At 35.7% G+C, this 18,252-nt stretch overlaps 1 protein-coding gene across 7 annotated transcripts in view, besides 1 other annotated feature; it reads left to right on the forward strand.

Moving 5' to 3' along the window:
• The window catches only part of TSEN15 (tRNA splicing endonuclease subunit 15), a 45,756-nt gene that overhangs the window by 11,778 nt on the left and 15,726 nt on the right, over window positions 1–18,252 (forward strand). For 2 of the 7 annotated variants that reach the window (NR_125335.2, NM_052965.4), the window contains 2 exons: window positions 8,650–8,791; window positions 9,320–10,705. The exons of 1 other annotated variant lie outside the window; for it this stretch is intronic. Coding sequence is in view for 4 of the 6 variants with exons in the window: in NM_052965.4 (NP_443197.1) it covers window positions 8,650–8,791; window positions 9,320–9,340 (163 nt within the window). In the remaining 2 variants the exon portion in view is untranslated. Of the gene's footprint in view, window positions 1–7,108; window positions 7,226–8,649; window positions 8,804–9,319; window positions 10,706–18,252 lie in introns of those variants that run through there. 4 more of the 7 variants (NR_023349.3, NM_001300764.2, NM_001300766.2 and 1 more) reach the window with 4 other exon arrangements.
• Window positions 4,822–5,360: an enhancer, noted in NCBI's record as "OCT4-NANOG hESC enhancer chr1:184037463-184038001 (GRCh37/hg19 assembly coordinates)". NCBI's record gives its function as "activates a minimal SCP1, AML or CMV promoter by ChIP-STARR-seq in naive H9 embryonic stem cells {active_cell/tissue: H9 hESC(naive)}" and the evidence as "EXISTENCE:reporter gene assay evidence [ECO:0000049][PMID:30033119]".

The following is an 18,252-nucleotide window of genomic DNA, read 5'->3' on the forward strand; positions in this document are numbered from 1 at the left end:
ATCTGATGCTTAGCTTATTAATGCATATCATATCCTATTTCCCTCAATGTTGTTTTCAAAAGAATGTACTCTCTTTTCCTCATACATTGAATCCGATGAATTTTAGTTATTTTTTCTTTGTCAGAATTAATTTTTCCCAATATAGCTTTTAAAGACTGCCAATAGTAATTTTTCTTTTTTAAAGGACATGATTAAAGAACATTTTATTAGCTGTTTGTATTATCACAGCAGTAACCCAGATAATATAAATGGACGAATTATTTATTTTTAAATCCATTGCCTTTGTGTTTTCATGGGGAGAAGAAAAAACCTAATATTTTAAAACCCCGAGATGTGTAGGGAAAATTAAAAATTTATTTATTGTTCTTACCCATCACTAAAAATGTTATAAATGTATTTGATTTTACTTTTTATTTAAATATAATTAATACAAACATAATTATATACTACCTAGAGGCAAAATTTGGTTTTAGGATAGAATAAAAAGGTAAATTACAAATTATTCCAGTATTTTCTAAGTTGCTTATTTATTTATTGGCTGCCTGGGCTCATCGGGTGCAAAATATTATGGACTTTGCCTACAAGATGCTAACAGTCTGGAGCTGAGATGGACAGTCATTTACATCTAGTGTGATAAACGTAATGACAGATATGTACAGGGTACTGAGGAAGACCACAGAGGGAGGAGACCTAACTTTGACTGGTGGGATAAAGAGACAAGAGAGTCTGGGAAAACTTACTGGAGGACAAGATGTTTGAAATATGCAAGAACAAGGAACAAGGATGGGAATGGATGCCCTGGTTAAAGTAATAACATGAGCAAGGTATTGAGGGCTGAGAGGGCCTGAAATTTGCCAATAGTTCATTATGACTGGGTATGTAGTAATGGCAGAGAGAGTACCTGCCTGCAGTTGGTGAGAAAGCCCTAGATTGGTGTGGCATGGGTGGAGAAGGAGTGAGTATGTGTGATACAAGAGATATGGGAATGATGGGAAAAGGAGGGGAGGAAAGGAGAGACAGACATAGAAAAAATATGAAAAAACAAACAAACAAACAAACAGCTCTCCTCCTGGGAAGTAACAGTTCAGGAGAAGCAACCTCTTAAGGATTAAGGAAGTCAAAGGTAAGAGAAAGTTAAATCAAGAGTTTTGCCACTACAAAATCTGTAGGAAATCCTGAAACAAAGGTGGGAAAATTATTTGAGTCAGAATATTAGGAATTGTAATGCTTGTTTCTGTTTTCTGTAATGGATACCAATTACAATGTGCAAATCTGTAAGGATATAGATGTTTAGCTATTAATGCAAGAACCTAATTTGGGGATTTGAGGAGGTTAAGTAACTAGGGTTTAGTCATCTGAGCTTTTCTCTTCATTATACTCACTCCCTAAGCGGCCTTATCTGGTTCTAAGGTTTTAAATATCATCGATATACTGATGACTCCCAAATTTTTATCTCCATCCCAACCTCTTCCATGAACCTCAGACTCATATATGTAAGTGCCTACTTGACATCTCCGCTGTGATCTAAAAAAGGCATCTCAAATTAGCATGTCCAAAAAGAAATCTTGATTTGCTCCTATACTTTCTCCTTCTGTCGTTTTCTTTTTGTCAATAAATGGCAACTCTATTCATTCTGAAGCTCAGACCAAAAACCTTAGAGTCATTTTAAAATGTATACACACACACACACACACACACTTTATTTTTTAGACCAATTTTAGATTTACAGAAAAAATTGAGCAGATAGTACAGAGATTTCCCATCTAAGTCCCAGTCCAGCATAGTGTTTCCCCTATTATTAACATCTTTGTGTTAGTATGGTACATTTGTTACAATTAACCAATATTCATACATTATTAGTATTATTAACTGAAATTTGTCATTTACACTAGGGTTTATTCTTTTTGCACAATTCTGTGGATTTTGACAAATGCATAATGTCATGTATTCATCATCACATACAGAATAGTTTCAGTGCCATAAACATACCCTATGCTTCATTTATTCATCCCTTTCTTCACCCCCAAACACATCCCTGGCTGCTACTGAACTTTTTACTTTCTGTGTTGTTTTGCCTTTTCCAGAATGGCATATAGCTGGAATTATACAGTATGTAGCCTTTCAGATTGGCTTTCACTCAGCAATATGTATCCCTGCTAGCATGGCATTTTGGGTTTTAGCTACCCTAGTGGGCACACAATGGCATCTCATTGTTCTTTTAACTTCTTGCAATTTCCTGATGACATATGATGTTGAGCATCTTTTCATATGCTTATTTGCCACCTGTATATCTCCTTTGGTGAGGTGTCTGTTCAGATTTTTTGCCCATTTTTAAATTGGGTTTTCTTTTTGATAAGTTTCAAGACTTCTGTGTATATTTTGAATGCAAGTCCTTTATCAGATATGTGTTTTACAAATATTTTCTCCCAGTCCATGGCTTATATTTTCATTATCTTAACATTGTATTTTGCAGAACAGAAGTTTTAAATTTTAATAGAATCTGATATAATTTTTTTCCTGGATCATGCTTTTGGTATTTTATCTAAAAACTCATCACCAAATCCAAGGCATCCTATTTTGTCTTCTAGAAGTTTTATAGTTTTGCATTTTACATTAAGGTCTGTGATCCATTTTTAGTTAATTTTTATGAAGGATATAAGGTCAGTGTTTAGATTGATTTTTTCCAGGTGAATATCCAGTTACTCTAACACCATTTGTTGAAAAGATGTTTATTTCTTCATCAAATTGCCTTTTTTTTTTTGGTCAAAGATCAATTGACTATTTATGTGAGTCAATTCTGAGCTCTCTATTCTATTCCATTGACCTATTCATCTATTCCTTAACCAATACCACATGATCTTGATTACTATAGCTTTACAATAGGTCTTTTTTTTTTCTTTATGTGATTTTTTTGAGACAGGGTCTCACTCTGTTGCCCAAGTTGGAGTGGAGTGGCACGATCTCGGCTCACTGCAACCCGGTCCGCCTCCTGGGTTCAAGCAATTCTCATGCCTCAGCCTCTTGAGTAGCTGGGACTACAGGCGCATACCACCACACCTGGCTAATTTTTGCATTTTTAATAGAGACAGGGTTTCACCATGTTGGCTAGGCTGGTCTCAAACTCCTAACCTCAAGTGATCCGCCTGCCTTAGCCTCTTAAAGTGCTGGGGTTACAGGTGTGAGCCACTGTGCCCGGCTTGTAATAGGCCTTAAAGTCAGATAAAATCAGTCCTCTCACTTTGTTCTTTAACACTTTGTTGGATATTCTGACTCTTTTGCCTTTCCATATCAATTTTACAATCAGCTTGTCAATATCTACAAAACAACGTGCTGGGATTTTGAATGGGATTGCACTTGTAGATCACATTGAGAAGAATTGGTATCCAGGAACATGGACTATCTCTCCATTTGTTTAGATCTCCTATGATTTCTTTCATCAGAGTTTTACAGTTTTCCTCACATAGATCCTATAAATATTTTGTTAGATTTATACCTAAATATTTATCTTTTATGATGCTGATGTAAATGGTGTTTTGTTTTTAATTTCAAATTCCAATTGTTTATTGCTGATATATAGGAATACAGTGGACTTTTGTATATTATCCTTGTATCCTGTAACCTTGCTATAATCTCTTAGTTTTTATTCTTCCATTTTCTCATACCCCCAAATTAATTTATCAGTAAACCCTGTCAATTCCTTAAAATTACATCCAGAATCTGTCCATTTCTTACCACTTACACTACAACTGTTACCACTCTGGCTTAAGCTGCTATTATCTCACCTCCTGGACCTACTAAGTGGTCCTCCTTTAAAACACTTGATATATTAATGCTACTCAACATATTTCATATTTGGTTTTCTTTGATTATCTACTGTCTGTTTTCCTCCACTAGAAAGTAAGTTCCCTGAAAGTGAGAACTTGGTTTTGTTTATTGGTATATCCCTGGGGTCTAACCTGGTACCTGGTACATGGTGCTAAGTAAGTATTTGTTGAAAGATTGGGTAAGCTATCTTAGGCTACTGTGTTCCTGCAGCAGAGACTTCCTAATTAATACCTTAAAGAACATAAGAATATACTATAAGCAACCTTTTAAGAATTTCCAAAAAATTAGAATGTCTGCAAAATCTGCCAGGCACAGTGGCTCACGCCTGTAATCCCAGCACTTTGGGAGGCTGAGGTGGGCGGATCACCTGAGGTCAGGAGTTTGATACCAGCCTGGCCAACATGGCAAAACCCCGTCTCTACTAAAAATACAAAAAATTAGCTGGATGTGGTGGTGTGTGCCTGTAGTCCCAGCTACTTGGGAGGCCTAGTGAGGCAAGAGAATTGCTTGAACCCAGGAGGTGGAGGTTGCAGTGAGCCAAGGTCACACCACTGTGCTCCAGTCTGGGTGACAGAGCGAGACTCTCTCTCTCAAAAAAAAAAAAAAAAAATATATATATATATATATATATATATATATGTACATATGTATGTATCTGCAAAATCCATCCACTTGCAGGATTTATCACCATTTTCCACGCTTTGCATTGTAACCTGCCAATGTTATGAATAGCCTCTTTACTTTTTAGTTGAATTTTTTTTCATTTATATTCTCTCTGCCCTTTCACCCCTCTTTTTCCCTAGTGCCTTGGGAAAAGGACTTATATTAATTCTGGAGTAGAGGGTTACTAGAACTAGTTCTTTCTTTGGAACATCTCTGAAGATATTCTTAGTTATGAGATTTGATCCTCAAATGCTACATACTTTCTTGAAGGACCGTCCATTATTATTTCCCTGTAATTGAAAAATATTTCCACTTTCTGAAAGCATAATCCTTATTACAAATTCATTTAATGACCACTATTTTATTTGAGTCCTAAAGTCTCATAATTGCAAAATGACTTCTGTCATTTGGCTTCTCTGCATATTAGGATGTGTGTCCTCACCTTCCCTCTGCTAGAAATCTGCTGCTGGTGAAACCCCCAATTCTGGCAGCTTCTTTTAACTGATACAGCATTTTTTTTTCTCTTACCCTTAAACAAAAGCTTGCAGTTCATTACAGAATGACTTCCCACTGGGGTGGATAGCTTCATTGTTCAGTAAACCCCCTTGGAATTTTAGCTGCCTTGATTTTTTACTAGGAAGGCATTGGCATGAATTTCAAGGAGGTGGTCTGTTATCCCTGAAACTTTTCTTTGGGACTGAGCCTGTGGATGAATAAGGCTTCTTTGGTGCCTCTGACACCAACTTAATTTTGCATTATGTTTCAGAGTTGCATTATGGCATGTCATTCCATTATATCATAATGAGGCAAATCAAGGAATTATTCCCTTTTACTAATAAGGCTATAGCATATATTATTTGGCCACATTGAAGAGGATAGGAGATACTTTCTATGGGTTGAAATTAATACTACTTTTAACCCATGATACATTCTATTTCAATAGCATTTGAAGTTAAAAGTAATGCGGTCTTCAACTTCTTGTCCTCTGTGTAAATCTCCAGAGATTACTTAGTATCTGTTTCAGAATCATTACAGAAAAATCAATGCTAAGATTTATGGAAAGCATTTAAATAGCTTGGACTAAAGGTATTAGCCAAATAGTGTTAACTGTGTATTTGCTTCAGGCTTGTTTTCAAGTTAGCTATATGAAGCTCTGGAATCACTTTTTTTCAGTACACAGAGCTCCTCTATGAACAGTTATGAGAAATAAAAACCTGTTGTGAGCATCAAATTTTGTTGCTGTTATTAAATAGCTATTATTATTGATACATATTTTTCTTTAGGTGGGATTTTTCCCTTTAGATATAACTGAGTTTAAAACTTGAAACTGTTAGTATTAATACATAGGTTATATTTTTCATAGGTTGATTTCTATCCAATATGAACTATAAAGAATTTTATCGTTTATTGTTGTAGATTTGTGTGATGAAACATACAATATTTCCAGTATCTTCACAATATTTTTCCAAAGAACTGAGCTATTAAAATTTATACATATAAGGAAACATTCTGTCATTTCTAAAGTGAGATTTCAAACCATAAGCTTGTTAGAAATTAAGTGAGATTATAGTATTCTGGTGATACTTAAATGTTCTTGGGATCTTTACAATCATATGTGGTTTTTTAAGAACTTAAGAATCTTTTGTTACTGCTATTATTAATAGATTGGGAAAATATAATCTGTTGACTAAAAGGCAAAATAAACATTTTTAAGATTTTATGCAGTATCCTATAATGGAAACAAACAAGAAAGGTCTTGTTCTTGTTTGTTGAGGAAAAGATGATGGCTTTGCTTTAAACATACTTGAAAAATCGACTAGAAGAGATCCTGAACAAGAAACTGTAAGACTTCTGGAATGTACCTTGAGTAACAGAGGCAGATAAACTATTTTATTCTGTTACTAGTGAGAAGATTCACTGGTAATTCACAATCACCGCCCCCTCCAACCAAATACCATAAACAAGGCCTCAGAAATGGGAACTTCCATTTCATTTTTGACAGTGATTTCTCTCAACTCTGAAAACAAAACCCCTTTTACAACTCTGAGTTAGTTTTCAAATGTTAGGGTTTCCTGCATGGGTATTTGGGGTAAGTATGAAAATGTTTTGCTGCTTAAATCAAAGAACTCTGGAAACAGATATAAATTGAGAATGGAAAAAGAGTAGTGAATAAGATGGAAATTTCTATTCTAAATTTCACTATATGGGCTACAATTCCCATATAGTTTTCCTTAGTGAACACCACCCCCCAACACACACATACAAACACACCTTCTGATTTAAATAACATTATATCTTCAGAAATGGAAAATGTGTTAAAGTTGTGTTAACAGGCTTCCTTCTTGTCTGTGTCCCATTCTCATCACAGTCTACCAGTTAGGGATGTTTAGAGAAATTTATCTTGTGGCATTGAAGTGGCTTTATGTGCATTATATATTGGGTTTTATGTATATTGCATACTGTGAAGTAATCATGATACATGCTGACAACAAAAGATGTAGATAAGTTAAAATTTTAGTTGATCCATTGTCTGTTTCTTCTTTGCCATCTTTGTAGAAAAAAATTAATTCAAGATGGACAGCCTATAAAAATGTATCTTTTTCTATTATTATTAATTTAGATATTGGCGTGCCACTTTTGAAGAAGGAAAATACTTAGCTACATTAAAAGATTTGCATTGAAGAAGCAATTGTGATATGCTGCCTTTTATCACAGTGTGACTTCCCATCAGTGCTGAGTAATGAAGTTTCTGATTAATATCTATCGTTGCTTTATCAGAATATCTTTCTCTAAAGTAAATCATTCTTGTGAATAAGAATCTAGCTAGTTGTAATGCAGTTCAGCATAGGTGGAAATAATTTTTTAAGGACTAAGTCAATTTCTGGGATTCAGACTGTTTCAGAAAAGAAACATTTTCTGTATTTCCACTAATGGCACAGTGTACCTTAGTATGTTTGGGTTAGTATTCAGTTTTAGCAATAATCATGGAGGCAGGGGTATCTATAAATATTATATCCCAATTTGCAAGGTAGCAAAGTTGTATATATACTACATAATATGACCACTTGACAGTTTATGAAGTCTTTTCATATATGCCATTTAATTGATTCATATAATAATCTTATGTGTAAACATAAAGGTGTACTACTATCTTCATTTCAAGTATCCTTGAAAAGACTTTCTCCATTGAATTGCCTTTGTACCTTTGTCAAAAATCAACTGACCAGCCTTATAGCACGTTAAGAAGTAACTTATATGATGTTATTAACACAAAGGATGGGGGAAGGAATGAAGCTATATTGGAGTAAACAATGACACCAGACAGTTATGTGAAGAAATGAAGAATACCAGGAATATTAAATATGTGAATGTAAAAGACCCTAATATATTTTCCTTTCTCCTCTTAACTTTATAAAAAGAAAATTATTTAAAGTAATAATTACAACACTATATTACTGGGTTTAAATATATAAACATATATGACAATAATAGCATAAAGGTGGAGGAAAGGAATAAAGCTCTATTGGAGCAATTTCTATATTTTTTAGAATCAAGTTAGTATTAAGCTGAGAGAAATTGTGATAAACTAAGACGCAATAGTAATCTCTAGAGTCATCACTACGAAACTCAAGAAACTATAGTAAAAAAAAATACATTAATTAAAATGGTGTACTAGAAAATACCTATTTAATAGAAAAGAAGGTGATAAAGGAGGGTGAGAGGAAGTAAAAAGACATGTGATATATAGAAAACAAATAGCTAAATGGCAGGCATGAATCCAACCATACCAATGTTAATTTTAAATTTGAATAAACACTCAAAAGGGCAGAGATTGTCAGATTGGATATAAAAACAAGATCCAACTATATGCTATCTACAAAAGATACACTTCAGATTCAGAGACAACAATTTTGGAAAACTGTCAACTATTTCTATACCATTCTCTTTCCTTTCCTTCTGTGATTCCAATTATGTGTAATGTTGAACTTATTTGATACTATACCAGAAGACTCTGATGTTATTTTTTAAAATTATTTTTTCTCTTTTTACTTCAGTTTGGTTTCTTGTGACCTGTTTTCAAGTTTTCTAGTGCTTTCTTCTGTCACATCTCATCTAATTGAGTGACCGCAACTCCTAAGTATATTGTGACTTTATTTTCAGGATAAGGGAGATCTTGAAGGCATCTCGAAAGTTGCAAGGTGATCCAGATTTGCCGATGTCTTTTACTTTGGCCATAGTGGAGTCTGATTCTACAATAGTCTATTATAAACTTACTGATGGATTTATGCTGCCAGACCCTCAGGTCAGTTTTGAGGTAACTGACAGCAAGAAGTACAAAAAGAGGAAAATTATGACGTGATTTTAAGTGTGACTCAAGTCAGTCACAGAACTGCCACTTCCTTTGCCATAGGGAAAATTCAAGAAAAAAAGTCTTGATTTTCAGACGTCAGAAAATTGGTTATATTTTGTTCAAAGTAGCATGTTCCTAGTTATTTTTGCAAAAAAAAAATTGATTTCCTTACTCTTTGGAGAATTTCATGGTTTTCCAAAGTATTTTATGAAGTCATCATGCATTTAATTATTTAGTGAGTAGCTGAGGTGGAATGTAAAGGCTAATAATAGTTGTAAGTAAAAAAACGCTTATTTAAGAAATGTTAAATTGGTTGACATTTTGACAGGAACATTTTAATAAGATAAATGTGCTATATGTGATTTCTTTACATACTTTGTTGGTATAATTTGGATAATTACATTAAATATCTTTCTAATTTTGCTTTTGGATTACATTGTTTATCGGAGAAAAGTCCATCCTGATCTTTTTTTTTTCCAGAATATTTCTCTTAGAAGATGACATCCATGTTTCCTGATGCTTGTTTTATTCATACAAGATTGGATTTGAGACCCATCAGACTGCTTCATCTTTTATCTCAGAAATAGGGTTGACGTACATAGTGAGGGTTGACTTCCCCATTCCATAAGGTTTTCATTCTGAAGAGTAAAACTTCCCCAGGTAGAAGACTTTCTCCTTCTTAAAAAATATAGGGTGATTTCTTTAAAACTTTGTTATCTAGAGACAGTTTAATTACAGTTATATACAGGTTTATGCCTAGGATGTATTCAGATGGGTGGGACCTGTGTGCTGCTTTTGTCATCCCACACTCAAAGTTGTCTCTTTGTTTCTTGCTGCCACTGCCAGCTCATTGTTGAGACTGCCATTTCTTTCTCTTACTCAGCTCTCCCCAGTGCCTTTTGGCCACTGCAGCTACCGTAGAATGGCATTTTATATGTACCTTGTCACCCACTTCTGTTTACTTTTTCCTCTCCAGTAAAAAGTAAAAGATTTCTTTCAATTGGTCTTCCCATTGCAGTTACTGTTATTTCTCTTTTTTGGTTAACTTTAAATCAAAACTCAAAATATGTTCATCCAGAGTGTGTCTTAAGTAACTTACGTGTCTTAAGTAACAGGGACCAGAGACATGTTACCTACAAGAGTTCTGGGCTATCCTTTTCATTCTTATCACATATCATAGCTTGAATATTACAACAGTGTGGGAGAGAATCAACCGTAAAAATGTCTTCATTAATTAGACCCAGTTATTCCACTTTTGTTAATGTCTCTCAAATTGTACAAAGTATAAAAAATTATATGCACAAAGATGTTCCAAGTGACATTACTTTTAGTAGCCCAAATTATAAACCACTTTAAAGTTTGGGGTAAAGATTGGCAAACTTTTTCTATAAAGGGCCAGAAAGTAACTATTTTAGGTTTTTAAACCTACTGTCTCTGTCATAACTTGTCAACACTGCTGTATGAAGCACAAAAGCAGCCATAGACAATACATAAACAATACGGGCGTGGCTTTGTTCCAGTAAAACTTTGTTTACAAATGTGGTGCCATAGTTTGTCATCCCTGGGTCTAGGAAATAGTCAATAAACAGATATATACAAATGATACATAATGTACTTATTAAAAATTAGTAATGAATATTATTAAAAACATGAAAATATTACCTTAAGTAAAAATTGCAAGACGGAAAAGTGTATAAGTGGGTGTAATCATGGCTGAAATAACAGACCAAGCATATGATAAAAAGATAACAAAGTAAATCAAATTACTAACTGGTTATAGTGGGATAGGAGGCAGAAAATGGATGACTTTGTCTTTTCTCAATGTTTTTATTTGTATTTTATAATAAAAATGTTTTAAAATTAAAAGGTGTCTTGAAATCTGTATTAGTTATCTATCATTGCAAAATAATATTACCACAAATGTAGCAACTTAAAACAGCACACATTTATTATCTTATAGTTTTTGTGGGCAAGGGACCCGGGCACAGATTAGTTGGGTCCTCCATGAGGCTACAGTCAAGGTGTTGGGCAGGGCTCCAGTCTCATCTGAGACTTGACTGGGGAAGGGTCAGCTTTTTCACCCACATGGTTATTAGTAGCCTTCAATTTCTTGAGAGTGCTCAATGCTTATATGCCATTGGCAGGAGGCCACCCTCAGCTCTTTGCCACGTGGGCCTTCTCAATATAACTGGTTGCTTCCTCAAAGCCAGCAAAGGAGAGTCTCAGCAAGATGGACCTTATAATCCTTATATAATGTAATCACATACATCCCATCACCTTTGCCGTATTCTGTTGATTGGAAGCAGGTCATAGGTCCTGCCTACACACTAGGGTTTCATGGCTGATTAGGAAACAACAATAACAAGAATGGAAAAATGATGAAAATTAGGAACATCACAAAATAGTATAAAGCATCATTCTTCATCTGTAGTCATTCCTGACTCCTTCCTTTGATGGTATTTGAATTTCACTTTTATTCTTGGTGGGAGGTCTCCATAACTCCTTCAGGCTCCCTCTGCTTCCCCAGAGGACATGAAGATGGACCTATTCAGAACAATATGTGTTTGGGTGACTCTAGTGGAAAATTTGCAGGTCTAAGAATCCTCAAACAGTTTATGATAAATTCTTAGGGTCTCTTGATTTCTTAAGTCTCTCGTTTGATTCATTTTGAGGTCTTTCATTATAATTCTAGAAAAATAGCATTTTCAGAAAGAAGTGTAAGGATAATGTCAGATTTGTGTGTCGGATCTGTTGACCAGTGGGCTCCTATATAACTACAAAACCAGAAGTGTCTTTTGGGGTTGGCTGTGAAAGGCGCTTTCCCAACTCTTTAAACTAGGATTGAATCCTGCTGTATGTCTTGGGATGTTTACTCTATTTCAGAATGTTCCCTGTGTACTTCACCAAAGTTGTTCTGTCCAAAGCCAGCCAGACACATCCTAACATGAATAATGGCCCAGAACTTTTTGGAAAGGGAGGCCACCCAGCTGTGTATGTCTCATTTTAATGAAAAACTAGATAAAGTGATTTAAGTAATTTTGTAAGTGAGTTTACATTTGTCTCCCTGTTAGACTGGGCTCCTTAAGAACAGAACAAGAAATGTATTTTTTAATACATCTCTGTATCTTGCCTCTTTGCACAGTAACTCACATATAGTAAACCCTCAGTAAATACTTGGCAAATGAATGAATGCTGATTATAGCCGTGTCTGATTATATAATGGCTTATTTTTTCCCTCAAGGCAAACTAAAACAATTCATTTGGACACCAGAGGGCACTGCTAGATAACCACAGCATTTTCAGACTCTACTAAGAGTAGATTAGCTGGAGAAGTGGTACTCTTGAAAATTTATTTTCAATCTGTAGGAAATAGCATAAATAAAAATATAAATAAGTTTTACGTACTCACATCCCCTTTTTCTTTCTGGCATGCCTCTAAAATTATACTGACATTAAATATGTGACTTGATTCATGCTTTGCTTAAAATGTAGATCTATATTTAGAAATAAAAGCCTGTTTAGGGTAGGGGTAGATGGGGTGGGTTTTATATATATATATATATATTTTTTTTTTTCTTAGCCATATGAAAGTATGCATTTTAGTTTTTCATTCTAAAAGCCTAATTTATCCTGAAATGAATTTCAGGATCACATCACATAGCAATAAACCCCAGCTCTGGAACACTCACTATTCTGGCTAAGTGCTGGTGGTAAAAGATATACATTGCTGCTTTAATATAAGCAGGTATTCCTTGTTGTATTGCAATTCTCTTTATTCTGTTTTGGGGATATTGTGTTTTTTACAAATTGAAGGTTTGTGGCAACCCTGCCTCAAGCAAGATTGTCGATGCCATTTTTCCAACATGATCATTTCATGTCTTTCTGTCATATTTTGGTAATTCTTGCGATATTTTAAACTTTTTTTATTATTATATCTGATATGGTGATCTGTTTTTCAGGGATATTTGATGTTACTATTGTAATTGTTTTGGTGTGCCACAAATTGTGCCCATATAAGACAGCAAACTCAGTTGATAAATGTTATGTGTGTTCTGACTGCCCTACCAACCAGGATTTCTGCCATTTCTCTCCCTTACTTCTGGCCTCCCTATTCCCTGAGAAACAGCAATATTGAAATTAGGCCAATTAATAACCCTACAATGGCCTCTATGTGTTCAAGTAAAAGGTAGTGTAGTACATCTGTCACTTTAAATCAAAAGCTAGAAACGATTACACTTAGTGAGAAAAACATGTCAAAAGATGAGATGGGCCAAAAACTAGGCCTCTTGTGCCAAACAGTCAAGTTGTGAATGCAAATGAAAAGTTATGGAAAGAAATGAAAAGTGCTACTCCAGTGAACACATGAATAAGAAAGTGAAACAGCCTTATTGTTGATATGGAGAAAGTTTGAGTGGTCTGCAGAGAAGATCAAACCAGCTACAACATTCCCTTAAGCCAAAACCTAATCCAGAGCAAGGCCCTAACTCTCTTTTCAATTCTATGAAGGCTGAGAGAGGTGACAAAACTGCAGAAGAAAAGTTTGAAGCTAGCAGAGCTTGGTTCATGAGGTTTAAGGAAAGAAGCTGTCTTCATAACTTAAAAGTGCAAAGTGATGCAGCAAATCCTGATGTAGAAGCTGCAGTAAATTATCAAAAAATCTAGCTAAGATAGTTGATGAAGGTGGCTATATTAAATAACAGGCTTTAAATGTAGACAGACGGCCTTATATTGGAAGAAAATGCCATCTAGGACTTTCATGGCTAGAAAGAAGCCAATGTCTGGCTTCAAAGCTTCAAAGGATGGGCTAATTCTCTTGTCTGGGGCTAATGCAGCTGATGACTAAATTAAAGCCAATGTTCATTTACCATTCTGAAAATCCTGGAGTCCTTAAGAATTACGCCCAATCTACTCTACTTATACTCTATAAGTGGAACAATGATGCCTGGATGAAAGCACATCTGTTTACAGCATGGTTTACTGAATATTTTAAGCCTACGATTGAGACCTACTGCTCAGAAAAAAAGATTTCTTTCAAAATATTACTGTTCATTGACAATGCACCTGGTCACCCAAGAGCCCTCATGGACATATACAAGGAGATTAATGTTGCTTTCATGCTTGTGAACACATTATCCATTCAGTAAGGTCAAGGAGTGATTTTGACTTTGAAGTCTTATTGCTTAAGAAATACATTTTGTAAGGCTGTAGCTGCCATAGATAGTTACTCCTGTTATGGATCTGGGCAAAGTAGACTGACAACCTTCCAGAAAAGGACTTGCCATTCTAGATGCCATTAAGAATATTTGTGATTCATGGGAAGAGGTAAAAATGTTTGAAGGATGTTGATTCCAACCCTTGTGGATGACTTTGAGCATTCAAGACTTTAGTGGAGGAAGTTAACTGCAGATGTGGTAGAAATAGCAAGAGAATTAGAATTGGAAGTGAAGCTTGAAGATGTAAATGGATTGTTATAATTTCATGAGACAACCTGAACATATGAGGAGTTGTTTCTTATGGATGAGCAAAGAGTGGTTTCTTGAGATGGAATCTACTTCTTGTGCAGATGCTATGAACACTGTTGAAATGACAAAATATTTAGAAAATTACATAAACTTAATAAAGCAGCAGCAGAGTTTGAGAAGATTGATTCCAATTTTGAATATTTTACTGTGGGTAAAATGCTATCAAGTAGCATCAGAGTCTACAGAGAAATCTTTTGTGAAAGGAGGAGTCAATGATTTTGGCAAATTTCATTGTATGTTATTTTAAGACTTTGCCACAGCCACCGCAACCTTCAGCAACCACCACTCTGATCAGTTAGCACCCATTAACATCAAGGCAAGACTCTCCACCAGCAAAAAGATTATTACTTGCTGAAGCCTCAGATGATCATTAGCCTCTTTCACAATAAAGTATTTTAAAATTAAGGTGTGTGCATTGTTTTTTAGACATGATGCCATATACTACATGTTCGTGTAAATGCAAGTTTTATAGGCACTAGGAAACCAAAAAAATTGTATGACTTGTTTTATTGCAATATTTACTTTATTGCAGTGGTCTGGAACTGACCCTTCAATATCTCCAAGGTATGCCGGTATAAACTTTTCTGTAAAAGAGGTGCCCTCTTTAGCTGGGGCATGAAAGAGGGAAATGGCATGTGAGGATTTCTCTCTGGTGCCGCCTTTGCCTTTCTTTTCTGGAGTCTCTAATCAGTGTGCCCTCTGTGCTGGGGAAGCTCAGTGGAATACTAAGCTAGGTCCTATGGCTCCAGACTAAGTATTTGCTTCTCCTGGCTGAGACTCTTTAGAAGAATATGTTACTAAACACCATAGATCTCTTGTAAAGAACATGAAGGAAGAGGTACTTTGGAATTCAAATTTACAATTAGAATAGAAGAGTAATCTGCAAAGTTCACGTAGTCAGCATTTTTATTTTTATTTTTTATTTTTTACTAAAACAGCTTTTCCCTTTTATAAGCCTGGAACCAAATGACTTAACCAAAACTTCATGGTGTTTCATCTCTTTCTGAGTATTTCTGTTCTGAATTCCTCTCTGAGGTCACTTTTTCCATTGCAGCCCCTAGCAGAAGGCCTCTTCACTGCTGCAGCACAGTGGTTCCTGCCAAAGTTTGTAGTTCTTCTATACAGAAGCTCTTTATTCATCTGCCATATTTTACCTTGAGTGTTTACATGTGCAGAATAATGTGCTATCCTCTGAGCAATTAATAGTACAATTTCCCTTCTTTCTGGCCAATAACCGTTCCTTACCACCCCCTAATCCTCTTAATGATCTTTGGATAAGAACTGCTTGTACTCACTAAGGAAAGTGGATGGAAAAATCAAATGTCTAGTAGGTGGGTGTGCTATTATAATGTTTAAATGATTTTGAAAATTTTCCCAAAGCCAATTTAAGCAAAATCAGAGATTGGCCTTTTAGGTTTCTGGGTACTAAGGGGAAGTAATAAGAAGTATTTTATTAAAGGTTATTTATCAGTTTATCTTCAGACATTAACTGGTATCTTAGCTAGGACAACCATTACAAAATACCACAGCCTGGGTGCCATAAACAACAGAAATTTATCTCCTTACAGTTCTGGATGCTGGGAGTTCCAAATTAAGGTGCTAGCAGACTTTTAAGGGCTCTTTTCCTGGCTTTCAGATGGCAGCCTTCTGGCTGTGTCCTCACATGGCCTTTCCTCTGTGGGGCATGGCGAGATTGAGAAAAAAGGAGAGAGAGAGAGGGTCAGAGCACGTGCAAGTGCATGCTGTCTGGCGGCATCTTTTCATCTTCTTATAAGAACACCAGCGCCATCAGATTAGGGCCCCATCCTTATGACATCATTAACTTTAATTACCTCCCTAAAGGCCTTATCCCCAATTCCAGTCACATTGTGGGATAGGATTTCAATATATGAATTTGAAGGGTACATAATGCAGTCCATATAAACTGGGCTCCTTCTCTGTGCTCAGATACTGTGGTAAGTCTAGGGATACAAAGATTGGTGAGACATGACCTCTACCCTCAAGGAATTCAGACAGGCAATTACAACTCTCTTTAGCCAAAATTCTAAACACCTGTTGTTAGTGTGAATTGAGAAATACTTGTCTTGCAGTGTATAAAGTTTGTGTAGTTTACTTAAGGGTGAAGGGGTTTAACAACTTATGATAAATAGTTTTCAAACGATCATCATATGTGTATTATTTGTCCCAAAGTACTCAGCATTGGATCATATGCAAAGAAAAAGTGCACAGTGAACCTCTAAGGAGCTTATTGTCTCCCTTGAAAGGAGAAAATCTAGGTACAAAATAATTCAAGAGCATTACAAGGACAACATTATATATAAATGCAAAGTTATAATCATGTTGTACTTTATTCACTACTAAGTGCTTCAGAACCCTATATCTTGATGCTCACAACAGAGCTGATGTTACTTACATGTTATTAACTTTTTATCCTCATAAGATAGAGAAATTAGGGCACAAGTGGTTAAGTAATAGCTCCAGGTAGTAGCAAGCAAGTGGAGTGGGTAATGCAGATTAGATCCAGGTCTCCTGATACCTAGCACTGTATTGTTTTCAGAATATTATGTTGCCTTTTTCTTGTATGATGCAGAGAAATATATTAGTGTGTGCCAAAGTCTTTGGGAGGAAAAAATTATTCAGTCCTGGAGGGAGTTAGGAAGTGATTTTTGGATCAATTACATTATCCTCTGATACTTGAACAAATGTATCAAAATGTCAAGCTGTTTGTGGGTAATTCTGAAAAACATATTCATAAGCAATATATTTACAGAGTTTTATTCCAGAGGATAAACACATTCATGCTCATGCTTTTATGTTGGCAAACCTAAAACAATATTTAATAGTAAATAAAGAAGAACTCAGAAAGTTTCTCTGCTTGTTGACACTAAATTTTGTGCTGGTACAAACAGAAAATCCAGAAACTTATAAATGATCATTGCACCTCAATGAAGAAGACCATTGCACCTCAATGATCTTGCACCCCAAGTATTCCTCAGATCTGCCTGCCAGTGCTTGGAATCCTAACATAATTCTGTTTCTTAATCATGAATCAATAATCCAATTTAATTTGACAAACATTTTGTTAGCACCTTCATGGGTAAGACATCGTGCTAAGATCTGGTGGAAAGACAATTCCAAATATGTTATTATTAGATTCAATAGGTCAAATTAATCAGCTTAACTGTTACAAGAATTTCTAAATGTTTATTCTCAATTTCTATACTTACATCATTGCAGAGCAGCAATAGTTTGTGGATTGATACCTGTGTATGAACTACACTTTGAGTGGCATGTGTTAAAAGCTTTGATGAGGAATGAGAGCCTGAACCCCAATAATAGCCTGGGCATATTAGTCAGGGTGGGCTGGATTATTATGCAGCAACAGCCAGCGAGTTCATTTAACAAGTGTTTATTGCTTGCTCACTTTACATGCCCATTGACTGAAACGACCCATTGCATGCCCTTTACTCTGGAAATCAGAGTGACAGGGCCTCCACCATCTGAAATGCTGTCAGTTCCAGCTGCAGGAGGCAGTTCCAGCTGCAGTGTTGCTTACTGCAATTAGGAAGCAGCCCATGTTACTCCTGTCCACGTTTCACTAGCCAAAGGAAGCCACGTGCCTGGCCATGATCTACCTCAAGAAAGAGGGGAAGTGCAAATCTGTCATGTTCCTGGATTGAGGAAAAGGAATATTCAGAAAGCAGCACTTCCAGGTAATAGAAAGGAGAGGAGAGAGCCGGCAGGTAGATTTAACAACTGGATAGCTGCGTGAACAGAGAAGGAGCTGGAGTTAAACCTCAAACTATTGAGTCCCGTCACTTTAATGGGAGTGAGTTTCGGGTTGTTTTGGGAAGACAGTGAGAGGACATTGCAAGAAGGAAAGGGCACTAA

Source organism: Homo sapiens, chromosome 1 (assembly GCF_000001405.40).
Source record: "Homo sapiens chromosome 1, GRCh38.p14 Primary Assembly".
In the NCBI taxonomy this organism is placed as follows: domain Eukaryota; kingdom Metazoa; phylum Chordata; class Mammalia; order Primates; family Hominidae; genus Homo; species Homo sapiens.